Source organism: Homo sapiens, chromosome 6 (genome assembly GCF_000001405.40).
Source record: "Homo sapiens chromosome 6, GRCh38.p14 Primary Assembly".
In the NCBI taxonomy this organism is placed as follows: Eukaryota; Metazoa; Chordata; class Mammalia; order Primates; family Hominidae; genus Homo; species Homo sapiens.
In genome coordinates, this window is record NC_000006.12 from 82,016,320 (window position 1) to 82,031,439 (window position 15,120).

Consider the following 15,120-nt stretch of genomic DNA (forward strand, 5'->3'; position numbering starts at 1 on the left):
CAGGGCTAATGATTACTTTACGGTGAGTACATGGTAAACTGATGGCCCTATGTGTTCACAACTCCCTGTATCCATACCCTTTGCAATATGCCTTTGCATATCCGTCCTTTGCTAGTTGAGGTCTATTTTCATGCTTCTTATGCCTGGGCTCGCTTTTGTGACTTGCTTTGGCCAACAGAATGCAATATGATGGGGTACAATCAAGAAACCTTGCATGCTTTACCTCTCTCTTGTCTCAGAACCCAATTTCTAGCATGAAAATAAGCCTAGGCTAGCCTGCTGGATGAGAAGAAATACACAGTCCCATCCTCCATATCACCCAAACTGATAGCCAGCCATGTGAGTGACACTATTCTATATCAGCCTGTTTCTAACTGACCCAACAGCAGACATAAGATGCATCGTTGAGCTCAGCAGAACTAAGCAAAGATCAGATAAGCAGAACCCAAAACTATCTAGCTAGCCAACAGTCTCATCAGGAATAATAACTGCAACAAAAGATAATTGATACAGAGTCATTCAATCAATAGTTTGGCCAGACACTTTGCCTACTAAGAGAGGCATGTACATAAATCTGGAGATAGCCAGGAGCCTGAGCCAGTAGTTTTCAGAGTTTATACTCCTACCAGGGCTGTTTGGAATCCAGAATAAGTAGTTCCAAAAATAAATTTAAAGCTCCAGAGAACATTTTTAATAATAATGATCTTAGAAGCTAACATACGTGAAATGGTTACTACAAAGCCATAATCTCCTCTAATTTCATCAAATATAAGCTATTATTATCCTATTTTATGGATGAGAAACTGAAAGTAAGAGAAGTTAAGTTGGTAACTAGAGCTGAGATGGAAACCTTGTTGAGTCTGATGCCTAACCCCAGGTTATAAACACTGCACAATAGTGTGTCACTGGAGATGTGGCAGTATTTTCACAGCTGGCAACCAAGGACCAATCTTGGAGGCAACTCTCCTATCTACAGTAGAAATGGTATTTGGGGTAACTATCTAGGCTTATTCAAAGGAACAGGAGGAAAGGGGGCAGCTGGAGAGAAGGTAGTTGCTTAACACCTGACAGATGTTATTACAGCAATAAACAAGCCCAGCAAATCCTCCTTCCCTCTTTAGAACATTTGTCTCCATGGTGAAATAATGCAAAACTGGGCAAGAATCAGTCATAACCTGGGAGAAGGGAGGGCTCAGGGTCACAGAGGCTTAGCAGAGTCCTCTTTGCTGACTCTGACTCATCAATCCCTGAGGAGTTAAGCACTTGCTTAACAGCTCTCCCAGTCATTTCAATAGGCAACAGGAGAAGGGGACAGAGCAAGCAGGAATCTCATGCCATTGTAAAGTTTTTAGATTTGATTTGGGATTTCTCAGTCTCCCCTGTGAGCATTGCAAAATATTTCTGCCCATTCTGGGTATGATTAATCTATCCAATCCACATGAAAATTACCATATTGAGTGCTCCAAAAATATTCTGTGTTGAAGAATCAGTTTATAAGTTAATTCCATTGTATAGAATTAATAATAATTAATTCTACTCTCAAAGGCAACCCTATGATGTAGGTATTAGTATTTTCATTTTAACAGATGAAGAATTTAAAGTTTGGAGAGCGGATAAGCAACTTGCCAAAAATCACAAAGCTGGGCCCCCAGTCAAATCTAGTTTGGCAACCGCCAGAACCCATGCTTTCAACCATTCGCTACTGTCTCTTATGACTACCATGGTAATAGAAATTTTATTTTTAGTATACTAGTAATTTTCTGGAGGTCAGGGACAAGAATAAGATTCAGCTTGAACTCTTGCCTATATTCTCTTTAGAACTTGGAAATGGCACTGAAGATAGAATTCCAAAGATGTCAGCACCTTGACAGGTAAGTCCTGAGCATCTTGAGACTTCATTATCTTCCAAATTATCACATTTCCAGATTCCTTACAGCTAATTTCAACTCTGCCAAAACTGAACAGCAAAACCATCAGACTTTTCTTTAGGTATTTATAGTTTTTTGTTTTTGTTTTTTAATGCACCCAAGACATAGCTCCTAGTTCCTGAATCAACTATGCCAGTGTTTCTCTGAGCCACGCTAAAGGTCTGAGATATGTTCTTACCCAACTAATCTGTTCTCATTTGGGACACAGAAAAAAAGCACATTCCAGGAATAAGGTTGGGTGCATTCAAGTGAAGGATACAAGTCAGGGGCATCCAAGAGACTCAGCACGTTCTGTGGTTATTTTCTTAAACTTACTTGTGTGATGGTGAGTTTTTGTGTGTCGAATGCCTGAGTTACAGGTGGGCAATATGAATGCCAGATCTCTACAAAACTCATCATTTTCTTATCATTTCCTTCTTCTTACCCCTTAACACTTGCAGACAGCGCATGTTTGAAGTTCAAGTTTCCAGCCATCACAAGTGTCATTGCATACGACTATAGCAAAGTGGAGAAGGAATTCATCAAAGTCCTCCAATACAGCCCTCCCCCACGCATGGAGTCTAACGCACTCTTTTAAGGATAAATCTAACTTCTGTTCAAATAGTTCTAATACAGGCAACTCATGAGCTTGCAGGATGAATGATTAATTAATTAATTATTTGAGTGGTTCAATTTACTAGTACAACAGACAGATATTAAAACTTTCTTTATCTGTCAAGCATTGCCCAGTGACGGAGTTAGATGATAAAACATCCTACTCTCAAGAAACTGACAGTCCAACATAAGAAACACAATCAGCCTCCCTTTAGCATGTCACCCCTCTTTCACGGTTCTCTTTTAAGGTGCCACAGAGTAAATTCAGTCCTTTCTCTACTTAACACCCTCAGCTATCTGTTAGGTATCATCTCATGTTTACAATCCTGGATCTTTCAAACTATAACATGGCTTAAGGTTTTGTCCTTCAATGGCTACTAGGATTATCCTAGTAGTTCTCCTCTAGCTCTACCCTAGGTCAATCGCCCTTCTAAAATCAGGAGCCAACTATTGAATTAAACATTTAAGGATGCCGGAAGACCATGGTCTTCCCATATCAATGGCTTCCAAATCAGATTTAAAGCCAAAATTTCAGTTTTAAATACTTATCTCTGGAAATAAATGATTCCTATGAAATGCCCCTAAAACAAACACAATGTGAAGTTCCTATCAGTCAAAGATATTTTTCACAATGAGCTGTAAGTTTTCTACTTTTGACAGAGAAGAACAGGAGAATAGTTTCTAACCAAAGAAAAATAGGAAAGAAAGTCCACTAGTGCTGGAAAATATTTACCTAGGTATTGACTTCATTGATGTAGCATCAATGTTGACCATGCTAAAGACTATGAAAAGAATGCAGGGTTTGTTATTACTATATTTCTAGATATTAATGACCAACATTTAGTCTTTCGTGACTTCTATCAACTGCTTTCTACTTCTTAAATTTTTTTGCGCCTATGATTGCCCCTTCTCTACCAGCTTCATTGGCTTTTTATTCTGTTTAGATATTTTAAATGTTAGCATTCTCTAGTATCTGACTTTCATTTCCATGTTAAGTTTCAAGCCTCTTCATGAGCTTCCCATTGCTTCCATCAGTCTAAAAGCTGGCAACTGTACCCCTCAATCTGTATCTCCAGCCTGGACCTCTCTCCTGGGATCCACAAGTATATTGCCAATTTCCTAACCCACTGTATTGCCTTTGAGCACATCAAATCAATTATTCTCTTTTCCAAATATGTTTCTCCTTCCATATTCATAATCTCTGTTCATTTTGTCACCGTCCACCTTATTAACAAGCTAGCAAATCCTGTCTATTCTACCTCAGGACTATTCCCTGATTGCAGCCTTTCCTTTATAGCTGCAGGTATCACAACTAGAAAATAGCTTATTTTTCTGTTCTTGTTTCTCTCCTGTTTATTCCATCTTCCACATTGCTCCCATAATTATGCTCCTAAAATAAATGAATGAATTGGTATAATCTGAACATACCAATCTCCTTCCTGTAACTGTTTGTGGTGCCTGTCACCTTTACAGAAAATAGTCTAAAATTATTATATAACAAAAATCTCCTTCACTATCTGTCTCCAACTGTACATCTTCTACATAAACCCACTCCCAGACCATTCTCTGCACCTCAGTACACCCACTCTATACACATACAAACTCTGCTTCAGCCACCATGAACTTCTTACTTGATCTTTTTCTTAAACATAACCTATAATGATTTTGTCTTTGACTGTGCTGGTCTGTTTTCCTGAATGCCTATCTCTTTTTCAAGCTGACAAGCTCATATTTGTCCTTCAAAATCCAACCCAAATCTTTTCTCTTCTGGGAGACAATTTCTGACTCATCCAGACAGTAATAAATTTCCTCCTATGCATTGGTGAATTATCAAAAATATTATTGTGCATCAGACACCAGACATGCTAGACACTATGCTGGATAACGGATATACCATGTTTAGTTAGGAAGATAGAAAAGTCCCTACTTTATGGGATGTACAATCTGGTGGGCAAGATGGGGCAATATAAGTAATTCAAGTACACTGACCATTATAAAAGAAGCTATGTTTTACAGAGATCTGTAGTCTAGTCAATGCTGTTCAATAGAATTTTCTATATCTGTAAAGTGTTCTATATGATAGCCACTAGCTACATGTGGCTATTGAATAGTTGAAATATGGCTAATGCAACTGAGGAACTAAATTTTTCATTTAATTTAATTTAAAAGCCCTGATGTGACCACTATGCAATCTATGCATATAACACAATTGCATATGTACCTTATACATTTGTGCCAATTTTAAAAAATAAATAAAAATAAAATGGGCAAAAAAAGATTTAAATAGCCAGCTAGTGTCATTTATATAGGATAGTGAAGTTCTAGATGTTAAAGAATTATCTGAAGAATGAGATCACTTGGATTTGAAGGATGAACATATCTGAAGGGCAAGTGAGGAGGGGAAAAGAATATTAGAAGAGAGCATTCTGAAGGTCCAGATTTACAAGTTCACTCTTCTCTGCTAATCCTACACCTCTTTCTGCTCTTGTGAACTTCAGTAGTACCTGGGACACAGTAAGCATTCAACATACAGTCATTATTATTATGTAATTAAGTTTTTCTGGTTTATAGACTTCTCCATAAGCTTTATTAAATAATTTGCATATGTGTGTACCTTCAGCCCCCATCAATTTCATAAAAATGGAAACTGTCAAAGTATTTTCTATTCTGACAGTTTCCCAAAGAGTGCTATGCAGGAAGATTCACTCTCCACCTGAAACATTCTGCATTTTAAGAAATACAAATTAGTGAGGACATAAGCAGCCAAGTGATGATTATCCCAGCACACTGTGAGTCTGAACCTTGCAGTTCCAAGGTCAGTGCATAGAGTCAATCGTATACATTTTGAGGATCCTGGGTTAGTGTTTAAATTAAGTCATATGCTGCCCACCCTCCTCAGTCCTAGAGTTATCTACACTAACTTTCTAGTGAGAATTTTGTCTCTTCCTGAAGTATAATCCCACCTCAAACCCAGCTTCGCATTGCTATCAATGGAAAGGCATTGCCATCCCATTTTAGAATATAGTTTTATCTGATTGCAATATGGTTTTATATGCAACATGTAAAAGGTATGGGCAGAAGAAATGCTATTTTGGAATGCATGCTTATCAACACATAACAAGTGTGCAATAAAAATTGCAAAGAGCTGTTTTTAACATAATATGGCAAATCCCTGAGAGTATCTGGAAGAGTCAATAGTGCACGTGGTTTGGCAATCTGAGCAGCTGACTCTGCAACCTCACCTCCAAACATAAAGAGGGCTTCAGGTTATTTTTAAATATAAACTGATATCTGTATTCATTCAGATATCTGTATAATATATGAGGAACTATGGATTTATGGAGAGAAATTGGATGCATCAAACTGAGAAAGGGAACGGTCAATGAACTGAAAGTTCACCAAAAAGATGGAATCAGCAAATGACCAACAAAGCCAAAGCAAGTTCCTTCTCGCTGCCAAGTCTGATGCTACCCATTTTTGATTGAGAGACTTCTCCCAAATTTTGATCCAATGTTCAAGGCTCAGTTCAAATCCCACTTGCTCTACAGGTCTATGATGACCTGTTACTGCTGAAATCCTAGAGTATTTGTCTTTACTTCTCAGTTTGGAACATCACTATATATTCTTTTATGTTATTTGCTAAGATTTCACGTGCTTGGGTCTTATCTCCTCAGCCAGAATATGTTTCACAGGGTGAAACAGCTGTCAACCATCGTGAATTCCAGTGTCCCAGCATAGAGCAGGGCACTTCATGGAACCCCTGATAAATATCTTCCGATCTATTCAATAACATGCTACAGGACAGACCATTGCCAAACAGACAGAGGAAGAAAAGCAAGGGAAAAGGAGAGCAGGGTGCAGGGACTGTGCCCTCATGAAAGCAGCTAAGATTTCCTGAAATGACTCATAGAACAGGAATGCCAACACTGATGAGTAGAAGTGGCTACATGTCTTAGACAGTTGAACTCTGATATTCTCTTAGTATTAGCTGACTCCTGGATTACTTCCTCTAACAGTGTATAAGGGGCAAATTTTTTGTTAAGAAACTTCCATCCTAGGTGTTAAGAAAAAGTCCACATGAAAGGATTTCCCCCTCCAGAGCACTGTAAGAATTACTAATCAAATGAATCACCTGACCTATGGTCCCGGAATGTTAAAACTGGAAGGAGTGTCACATATCATCTGATCTCTGTTCCAGAAACTGAGGCCCAAAGACATGAAATGACTTGTTCAAAGCAATGTAACTGGTTAGTAGCAGAGCTGTGTCTAGAACACAGGCTTCCTGGTTTCTAAGGCCCATGATCTTTCCATATCCATTTCATGAGAAGTAGCAGAATTCCACTGGCTTAGTTGGTGAAACTGCCAATGACTAGTCTCTATTCCTCCTCATTTGATTTCCTCTTCTCATCAGACTGGACCTTCATCACTTAAACCATTCTCCCATCAAGGCTGGATTTCAGTTTCCTTGACTATGTGTCCTACTGCCCCTATACCAGAAGCCTTAAACACGGAGTGAATCCAATAATCTACTTTGTCCCTTCCTCCGCGGTATGCTAAACACAAATGGAAAAAATCATACAATCACAACAAAAATGTATGATTCTCATTTCCTGTGCCCTCAACAATGAACAGCATTCCTTTGACTTATTCTTGATCGGCACCCTCTCCAGCCCCCTTAGTGACTACTTCAAACTCCAGCCCCCTCTTCAGCTCCACATTAGGGTTAGGGTCTCAATAATGAGAATGAGACTCATTCTTATTAATGGCCACACCTGCTACTTCACAGTGGGAATAAGCACTTTCATCAGCCTTCCACCCAATCTACCAAGCTACATTCACCCCACTGAACTTTACTTACTTCTTCAGGACCTTGTTCTATCGACTCTCTCTTTCTGCTGTATAACCAACCTCCCTGTTTTTGCTTGCTTCTCTTCAGCACAAAAACGTGCCCAAATATATCTTCAGCAAACTATTTCTTAACTCTGCGTTATCCCTATAGCTTTCACTCTATCCTTCTCTTCACAACTGTTCTTGATGACTTTACCTCCTTCCTTTCCATTTCCCCCATCATAGCACGCAGTAAATTTGTGATTCTAGCCCTTACATTCTGAAACGGACTAGGAAAGGTCAACTATAACATCTTAAGGCACATAGCCATTTTTTGTATTTTTAATATTGTTACTGTAGTAAAATATATATACATAAAATTTACCAATTTGAACATTTTAAGTGTATAAGTCTGTGGCATTAAGTACTTTTTACAGTGTTGTACAACCATCACCACTCTCCATTTGCATGAACTTTTTCATCATCACAAACAGAAACTCTGTACCCATGATACAGTAACTTCCCAGTCCCCTTTCCCCTCAGCTTCTGGTAACTTCTATCTCCTTTCTGTCTCTGTAAATTCAACTACCCTATGTACCTCACATAAGTGGACTCACAATATTTGTCCTTCTTTTGTCTGGCTTATTTCACTTAGGATAATGTCTCCAAGATTCATCCATGTTAAGGAATGTGTCAAAATTTCCCTCATTTAACGCTGAGTAATATGCCATTGTATGTGTATACCACCTTTTGATTATACATTTATCTGTTGATAGACATTTGTGTTGTTTCTATCTTTCTGCTATTGTTATTGATGCTGCTATGAATATTGGTGCACAAGTATCAGACCGAGTTCTTGCTTTCAATTCTTTAGGGTATATGCCTAGATGTAAAATTGCTGGATCTTATGTTAATTTTATGTTTAACTTTTTAGGCACCACCTAATTGTTTTCCACAGTGGCTGTACTATTTCACATTCTGACCAGCAGTACAAACAAGTTCTAATTTCTGAACATCCTCATCAACATTATTTTCTATTTTTTGGATAATTACTATGCTAGTAGGTGGAAAGTATGGGGTTTTGATCTGCATCTCCCTAATGACTAGAGATGTTAAGTATCTTTTCATGTGCTTATTGGCCATTTAGATATTGTCTTTGAAAAAAATATCTATTCAAATCCTTTGCCTGTTTTTGAATTGGGTTGCTTGTGGCTTTTTCCTTGCTGAAAATTGTTGTTTTTAGTTCTTACCTTATTTGATTACCTGTAGCATTTGCCCCATTCTGACCAGATAATCTCATCTTCTGAATCCATGACTCCACTCTCTCCCACTTCTTCTCTTCCTACTCTGATCTTTCCTGAGTAATATTCTTACTAACTCCTGAAACATTTAATCCCTTTCCACTCTAACATTTATTGAGTACTTTGTAAATGCCAGACACTATGCTAAGTGTTTTATGTGCATTCTCTTCCTTTACGTTTAAAACCACACATTAGACAGATAGGGTTATTTAAAAACCATTCAATATCTATGATATTGAATAGATTTCATATCTATTTCATTCAATAGATATGAAAACTGATGCTCAAAGAAATAAAGTATTTTGCTTAAGTTTATTAGAGTAATTAGTGATAGAGTTAGCATTTAAATACAGGAAACTGATTCCAGAGTTTATGTTCTTAAGACTATCCTATCTACTTTAATGACATTAACAACTAAGTTAAGCTAATGCAGACTTGCATCAATAAGTTATTTAATTGAATTATATAGTTGCAAGCAATGAAAACCAGCTTTGACAACTTAAGCTGAAAAGGAATTTGTGGTAAGGATATGAGGTAACTCACATAATTGAAGGGGAAACTAAAGACTTGGGCTTAAAAACAGACCTAGATGGAGTTCAGCACCAAGCTTGTAGGAACCGAAAGAAGTCTCATCAGGACCCAGCAACTTCAATAAATTGGCTGAAAATTATTTCAGCTCCTTGGTCAAACTGAAATTCCAGAAACTGAATATCATATTGGTCTCACTGGGACATATCATAATCCCATGGGTAAGGGAGACAGAAGGAGCATATGTCAATTGCTAATCCAAATCTGGCTGTATTAAAGAGGGAAAGGCTTGTGTCTCAAAGGCAAAGGAAGAAACAGTGAATAAGTGGGTACAAAATGACAAGTCTACCATGCTCCCATCTTTAAATTTAGGCTAAATCTCTCCCAGCTCCAATGACTGAACATTTCTACTTAAAGTTCTTAGCACATTGATAACTACTTGCTCCTCTTTAATTGGGTAGAAGTCTATCTTACAGATATCTTTCCTGCTGCATTTCTTACTCTGAACTAAAAATACGTGTTAGTCTCTCTCCTTCATGAGATTGTGAGCTCCTCCACTGTATCCCTTAGCATTAAGCATGGTGCCATGTATGCAGCAGGGGCTCAGTAAATGTTTGCTGCCTGCTGAATGACCCAAAACTACAGAATTGAGGGGAACTCTCGAGTTACAAATTATATTACTGTAAAGTAACATACAGTCACATAACAAGAGACTTGAACAAAAAGGACATTGAGGTTTTAATTGAAGCAGGTACAATATAAGCCAAGATATGTTTTATAAGCTGGTCAAAATGTGAATGTTATCTTGGTTCTATTGATAAAATATGGTGTACACAAAAGAAAGGAGTAGGTCTATAGTACCTAACACTAAACAGACTACATCTTTAGTATTGTCACAATTTCTTATCACGACATTATAAAGAGATTGAAAAGTCTGAAATGTTTGAAAACTATATTAAATGAAACATGTTAACTGAACAGGGAAAGTTTGCAATAGGAAAGAAAAGAACTAAGAGGTTTGATCACCACAGTTATACAGGAGAACCATGCAAAACAGAAAGCAAGAGTTATTCTGTATGACTACAGATAAAAATCAAGATGAATGGATAGAAGATAGATTCATCTTCTACTCTGGAAATGACAAATCATTTGTCACACAACATGTCCAGATTCAGGGCTCAGAAGCTGTAGTCAATGTGATGTTTGAAGGTGTGAGTGAGTGAAGTTTAACAGGACTAGAGATGTCAGAAGGGTTTGTATATGTGTACGTGTGTGAAAGAGAATAGAACCTTAGTGCAAGTGTTACAAATTAATATTCTAGAATAGGAAATATACCTCTTTGACTAAAACTATTAGGAAACAACTACAAATTGGCACAAATACAAATGCAAAGGAAACCTCTGGTACAATTTAGCAAGTCAAGAAATAAGAACTATGATGACTATAGTTAATAACAATGTATTACATTCTCTAAAATTGGTAAGAGAGTAAATTTTAAATGATTATCTTTTAAGTGTAAATTTAGCTAATTAACATATGCATTACCTCACCACAAAAAATGAGGTGACGCATATGTTAATTAGCTAAGTTATTCACTCCACAATATATACATATTTTAAAATGTGATGTTGTACATGATGAATCTACACAATTTTTATTTGACAATTTAAATAAATACATATTCTAAAATAAATAATAACTAAACAAATAACATTTGTGAATGTGCAGTAAACTGTCACTTTTCTCTATGAAAATAGTAAGTTCCCTAGGCTGTGAGTCTACAGAAATGAAATTTTGAAACTGTTGGTTTGGGTTTTTGAATAGAACAGTAAGTTTGAACAAAACAGAAGCACAATGATATGAATTCATAATGGGAGAAGTCAGCTGATATTCTACATTGTATGTTTACCAAAGTGGGATGGAGCTTCTCTGGTTGAAGTTTCCAGTCAACAGACAAAAAGGGAACAATGGAGCCCGGTTTTCGGGAGGGCCACAGGGATAGAGCTAGGGCTGATCCAGATAGAGCAGAGTACACATTAAAAAGAATATAAGACCCAAACTTTGGGGGGGTGAATGATATTTGGGAATTCTGTGATCTCTAAAAACTAATTTTAGAGAAGAGGGTTCAGTTAGGTGGAGGCTGTTGAGATGGACAGTGCAGCAGAAGGCATTTTCATTTACTTTAAGCTCCCCTGATGCTGGAGAAGTGCTTGCAATGACTTCAGCAATTCTCCTCTTTTTCGTTCAGTGAGTGTGTCTGTTTAGTGCTGATTAAAGATGGGAGCCTGACAAACACTCATTTTTAGTGAATTATTGGTAAAGAACTGTTTACCTTGGGTTTACACTGCATCTCCAGCTCTTATATTTGACCAGTCTAGTAATGATAATTAAGCATTGATAGTTAGCTGAACATTCTTGAATCAAGACGACTGGGGTTTTTTGTTGTTGTTGTTGTTGTTGTTTGTTTGTTTTGGTTGCTGTCAATCTCCTTCTCCTCCCTCAGCAGTTACAATTTGTATTCACCTGGGTCCCCATTAGTGAGTTATATTCCGCTAAGACTATAGAGACAACCTCTGCTCCACTGTCCATCTGAGTGCTGATCTGGCTAAGTCCTCATCTCTAACATTCATTTCTAGAGATCACAGAGCTGAGGCAGGAAAACTTAAAATGAATGAAAGTGCTCCAATTGACAATAAATGAAGAAGATGTGGGCTCAGAGTTAGAGAATTTCCTTGAATTGTTCTAAATTTATGCAGTTGGAAGGCTTTTAAAAGTGCCATCCTACTCAACCTTCTAAAAGTATAATTTTTCTTTTTAATAGAAAATTCACATTTGATTGAAGAGATGGAACATAGCAATTTCAGTTTAATGTTTCCCAGAGAAGCTTGTCATTCACTGGATTATATGCTTAATATTAAGTTCAAAACACAGATTTTAGATAATTTATTTTCAGTACAGAAGATGGATTTATATAACTCAAAGAACAAACTAATAATGACAACTTTTCCTTTGAAGCACACTTTAAGGTATTATTCAATAAACATTTATTGAACACTTTTGGTGTGCAACAGACTACCTTGAGAACTTAAAGAATATACAAATATATTTATGATGTGGCTTCTTTCTTCAACATGCTTACAGCCCGATAAGAGAGATAAACACATAAATATCGTGGTTTTTACTGTAGCAAATGTCAAAGGAAATATGAGAAAATACTATTAGAAATTTGGAGAAGGATGGCGATTTTTCTGAATGATAAGATGAGTGCTTGTGTGACTGCAGCTCGGCTGCCAATCAGGCTGTCATCCAGTGAGGATGACCTAGTGTCAGGTCTTCATCTATCCACTGCCATGTCCTACTTTAGGTAGTAGGCAGGTGTGGTCAACAAGGACATCTACTCTGGGTTCAATGCCTTTTACAGTTGTGTTACTATTGACAAGGAACCTATTTTGAACTTGATTTCCTTAAACAACTCAAATTTTATGTGATGCACCTTAAACAGATAAGTACTGAGTGTTTTGGCATATTACATATGGAACTTATTTTCTCTAGTGTGATACAGTCTCATAAAAATATATACTACAATGCACATGACTTATATATTGGTATTGGCTTATATTCTGCCATCTTCTAGAATTATCTAGTCAAACTGTGATAGGCTATACCAGGACATTCTGAAATTTTATCAAGTGGACAAGGGATAATTATAGCCAACACTGAGAAAAAGGATGCTTAAAGAAATATTCAGTGACTGACCCTTGTGTCAAGTAAAACTTTAAGCAAGAAAACCTATGTGATAATGGTAGCTACCCATCTAGAGAATTGAGTATGTGTCAGAAATGCTTTTATTATTTTACAATGTAAAAACTTTTAAGACATAATTATTATCACGTTTCTATATGCGTAACACTTAGTTTAAACTCATGCTTTCATCTTCTTTGTCAAGAAGAACAATCTTGAGCTTGGAAAGATCAGAATAAGGATAAGATAAACCCAAAACCCAAGAACAATATAGAGATTCTAAGAGTGGCTCTAAAATAACTTAAGTCTCATGATCTGAACAAAATCACATGAATAATTTGGGGTGGGGGAAGAGTTCTCAGAAACAAATTTTTGAGGAGCCAGAAAAAACAGAGAATGGGCCATTGTGGTGTACATTTCCAAAGAGGAGAGACAAATTCCTCAAATCATAAACCAGAAGATTTGATGTTCATTTTGGGCAAGATTCTTGACTGGATTATTAAAACCTTGCCTTTTAATACTTGAAAAGAAAGTAGGGATAATAAGAAATAAATCAACTGAGATTAAACTAATTGTTGGTAGAGTTACTAAGTTGGCAGGAAATAATGATCTAAATATGGCATATCATGATTGCAGCAAGATGTTGGACAGAGTCTCTTAAAATATTTCACTTTGTATTCAGGGCAGAGAATTATAAATTGGATAAGGGGAGTTAGTTGAGTTTAAAATGGGTTGAATAACTTTGATGAAGAAGTCAGTGTCAACCTAAAGGGATTTCCAAGAGCATCTTTCCTATCCTATGCAATGTTTCTACCTGTGGTTTGAGCAAGGTTTCTCAACTCTGAAAGTGCCAAAGCTGAGACAGATAGCAAATACCCATGTGACAGAAACAGGACATAAAAGATCTCAAATGGCTTAAATAATGAGCCAAGTCAAACAAAAATTAAACATAAAAAAATAGGGCCTTTCACATGGGTTGAAAGAACTGGAGCATTATTACAAAAGAGAGGGAGAGAAATATTAGAGAATGGGGAACAAAAAACAGGGGATTTTAGTGAAAGGATAGTGTATTAATTTTCTAGGGATGCCATAACAAAGTACCAAAAATTAGGTAGCTTAAAACAATGGAAATTTTATTATCTCACAGTTCTAAGGACCAGAGGTCCAAAATCAAGGTACTAGCAATGCTATGCTCTCTCTGGCAGCTGTCCCTTCCTTGCCTGTTCTAGCTTGTTTGCCAGCAATATTTATCGTCTCCCTGTGGGTTTACACCACCTTCCCTCTGTGCATGTCTGTCACTATGTTCTAATTTCCCCGTTTCATAAGAACTCCAGTCATATTGGATTAGGGCCCACCCTAATGACCTCATTTTACTTGATCACCTCTGTAAAGACCCTGTTTCCAAATAAGGTCACATTCTGAGGTACTAGGGGTTAGAACTTCAACATATCTCTTTGGAAGGACACAATTCAGCCCATAACAAACAGCTCGGTGTGAATTAACAGTAATCTGCCAATCATGAAAGCCATGACTGCATAGATCAGGAAGAAAGGGACAGTTCAGCCTCACTGGACAGAAAACACCCGGGGAATGGCAGTCAGTTCTGGGCCTTTGACAGACACATACAAGGGAAAGCAATCAGCACGAGGAGGGAACTTAAAACCAAATGATTGAAGCCTGGTTTGGAGGAAACAGGAATGTTTAGCCTGAGGAAGAACAGTCATGGGGGAAATGAAAGCTGCCTTCAAATACACAATCAGCTGGCTGAAAGTAGAACAAGAGTTGTTTTTTATGGCTCTGAGGTCAGAATTATATTACTAAAAGAGATTGATTCAACTGGATGAAAAGAAGATTCTAAAAGGTAGTGTGTCCACAGGCAGTTGGGATTTCATGAGAAATACTGAATTCTCTATCTTTGGATGTCTTCAAGCAAAGGCTTAACACAGAGAGAGGAATCAAAGCATTGGAAATTAGCTTGGATCATGAAGCTTCTGACCTTGATACTCAAGAATTCTATAAAGAAGATTTTCATTTAAGTAAAGAATGTTAATGTCCAGACAAAATAACACATGATATCTTATAAGGAAATGGAATGTGCTAACCAAAATTTGGAATTCTTTTTTATTAAAGACAATGTGGAGGAAAGAAAAATGAGAGGAATTGCATATTTTAACTCCACAAATAAAAAATAGATGGTTTAA

General features: G+C 37.1%; 2 long non-coding RNA genes across 2 annotated transcripts in view, besides 1 other annotated feature; one reads left to right on the forward strand and one right to left on the reverse strand.

The window, feature by feature from the left end:
• LINC02542 (long intergenic non-protein coding RNA 2542) overlaps window positions 1-15,120 on the reverse strand; it is a 257,985-nt gene that overhangs the window by 172,539 nt on the left and 70,326 nt on the right. The window lies entirely within an intron of this gene.
• Window positions 1,073-1,367: an enhancer, noted in NCBI's record as "tiled region #11142; K562 Activating non-DNase unmatched - State 24:Quies". NCBI's record gives its function as "activates a minimal TATA promoter and a strong SV40 promoter by Sharpr-MPRA in K562 cells {active_cell/tissue: K562}" and the evidence as "EXISTENCE:reporter gene assay evidence [ECO:0000049][PMID:27701403]".
• Window positions 1,285-15,120, forward strand: part of LOC107986617 (uncharacterized) — a 97,872-nt gene continuing 84,036 nt past the window's right edge. The window contains exons 1-2 of the long non-coding RNA XR_001744231.2: window positions 1,285-1,723; window positions 1,819-1,871. This is a non-coding gene — a long non-coding RNA (uncharacterized LOC107986617). The remainder of the gene's footprint in view (window positions 1,724-1,818; window positions 1,872-15,120) is intronic.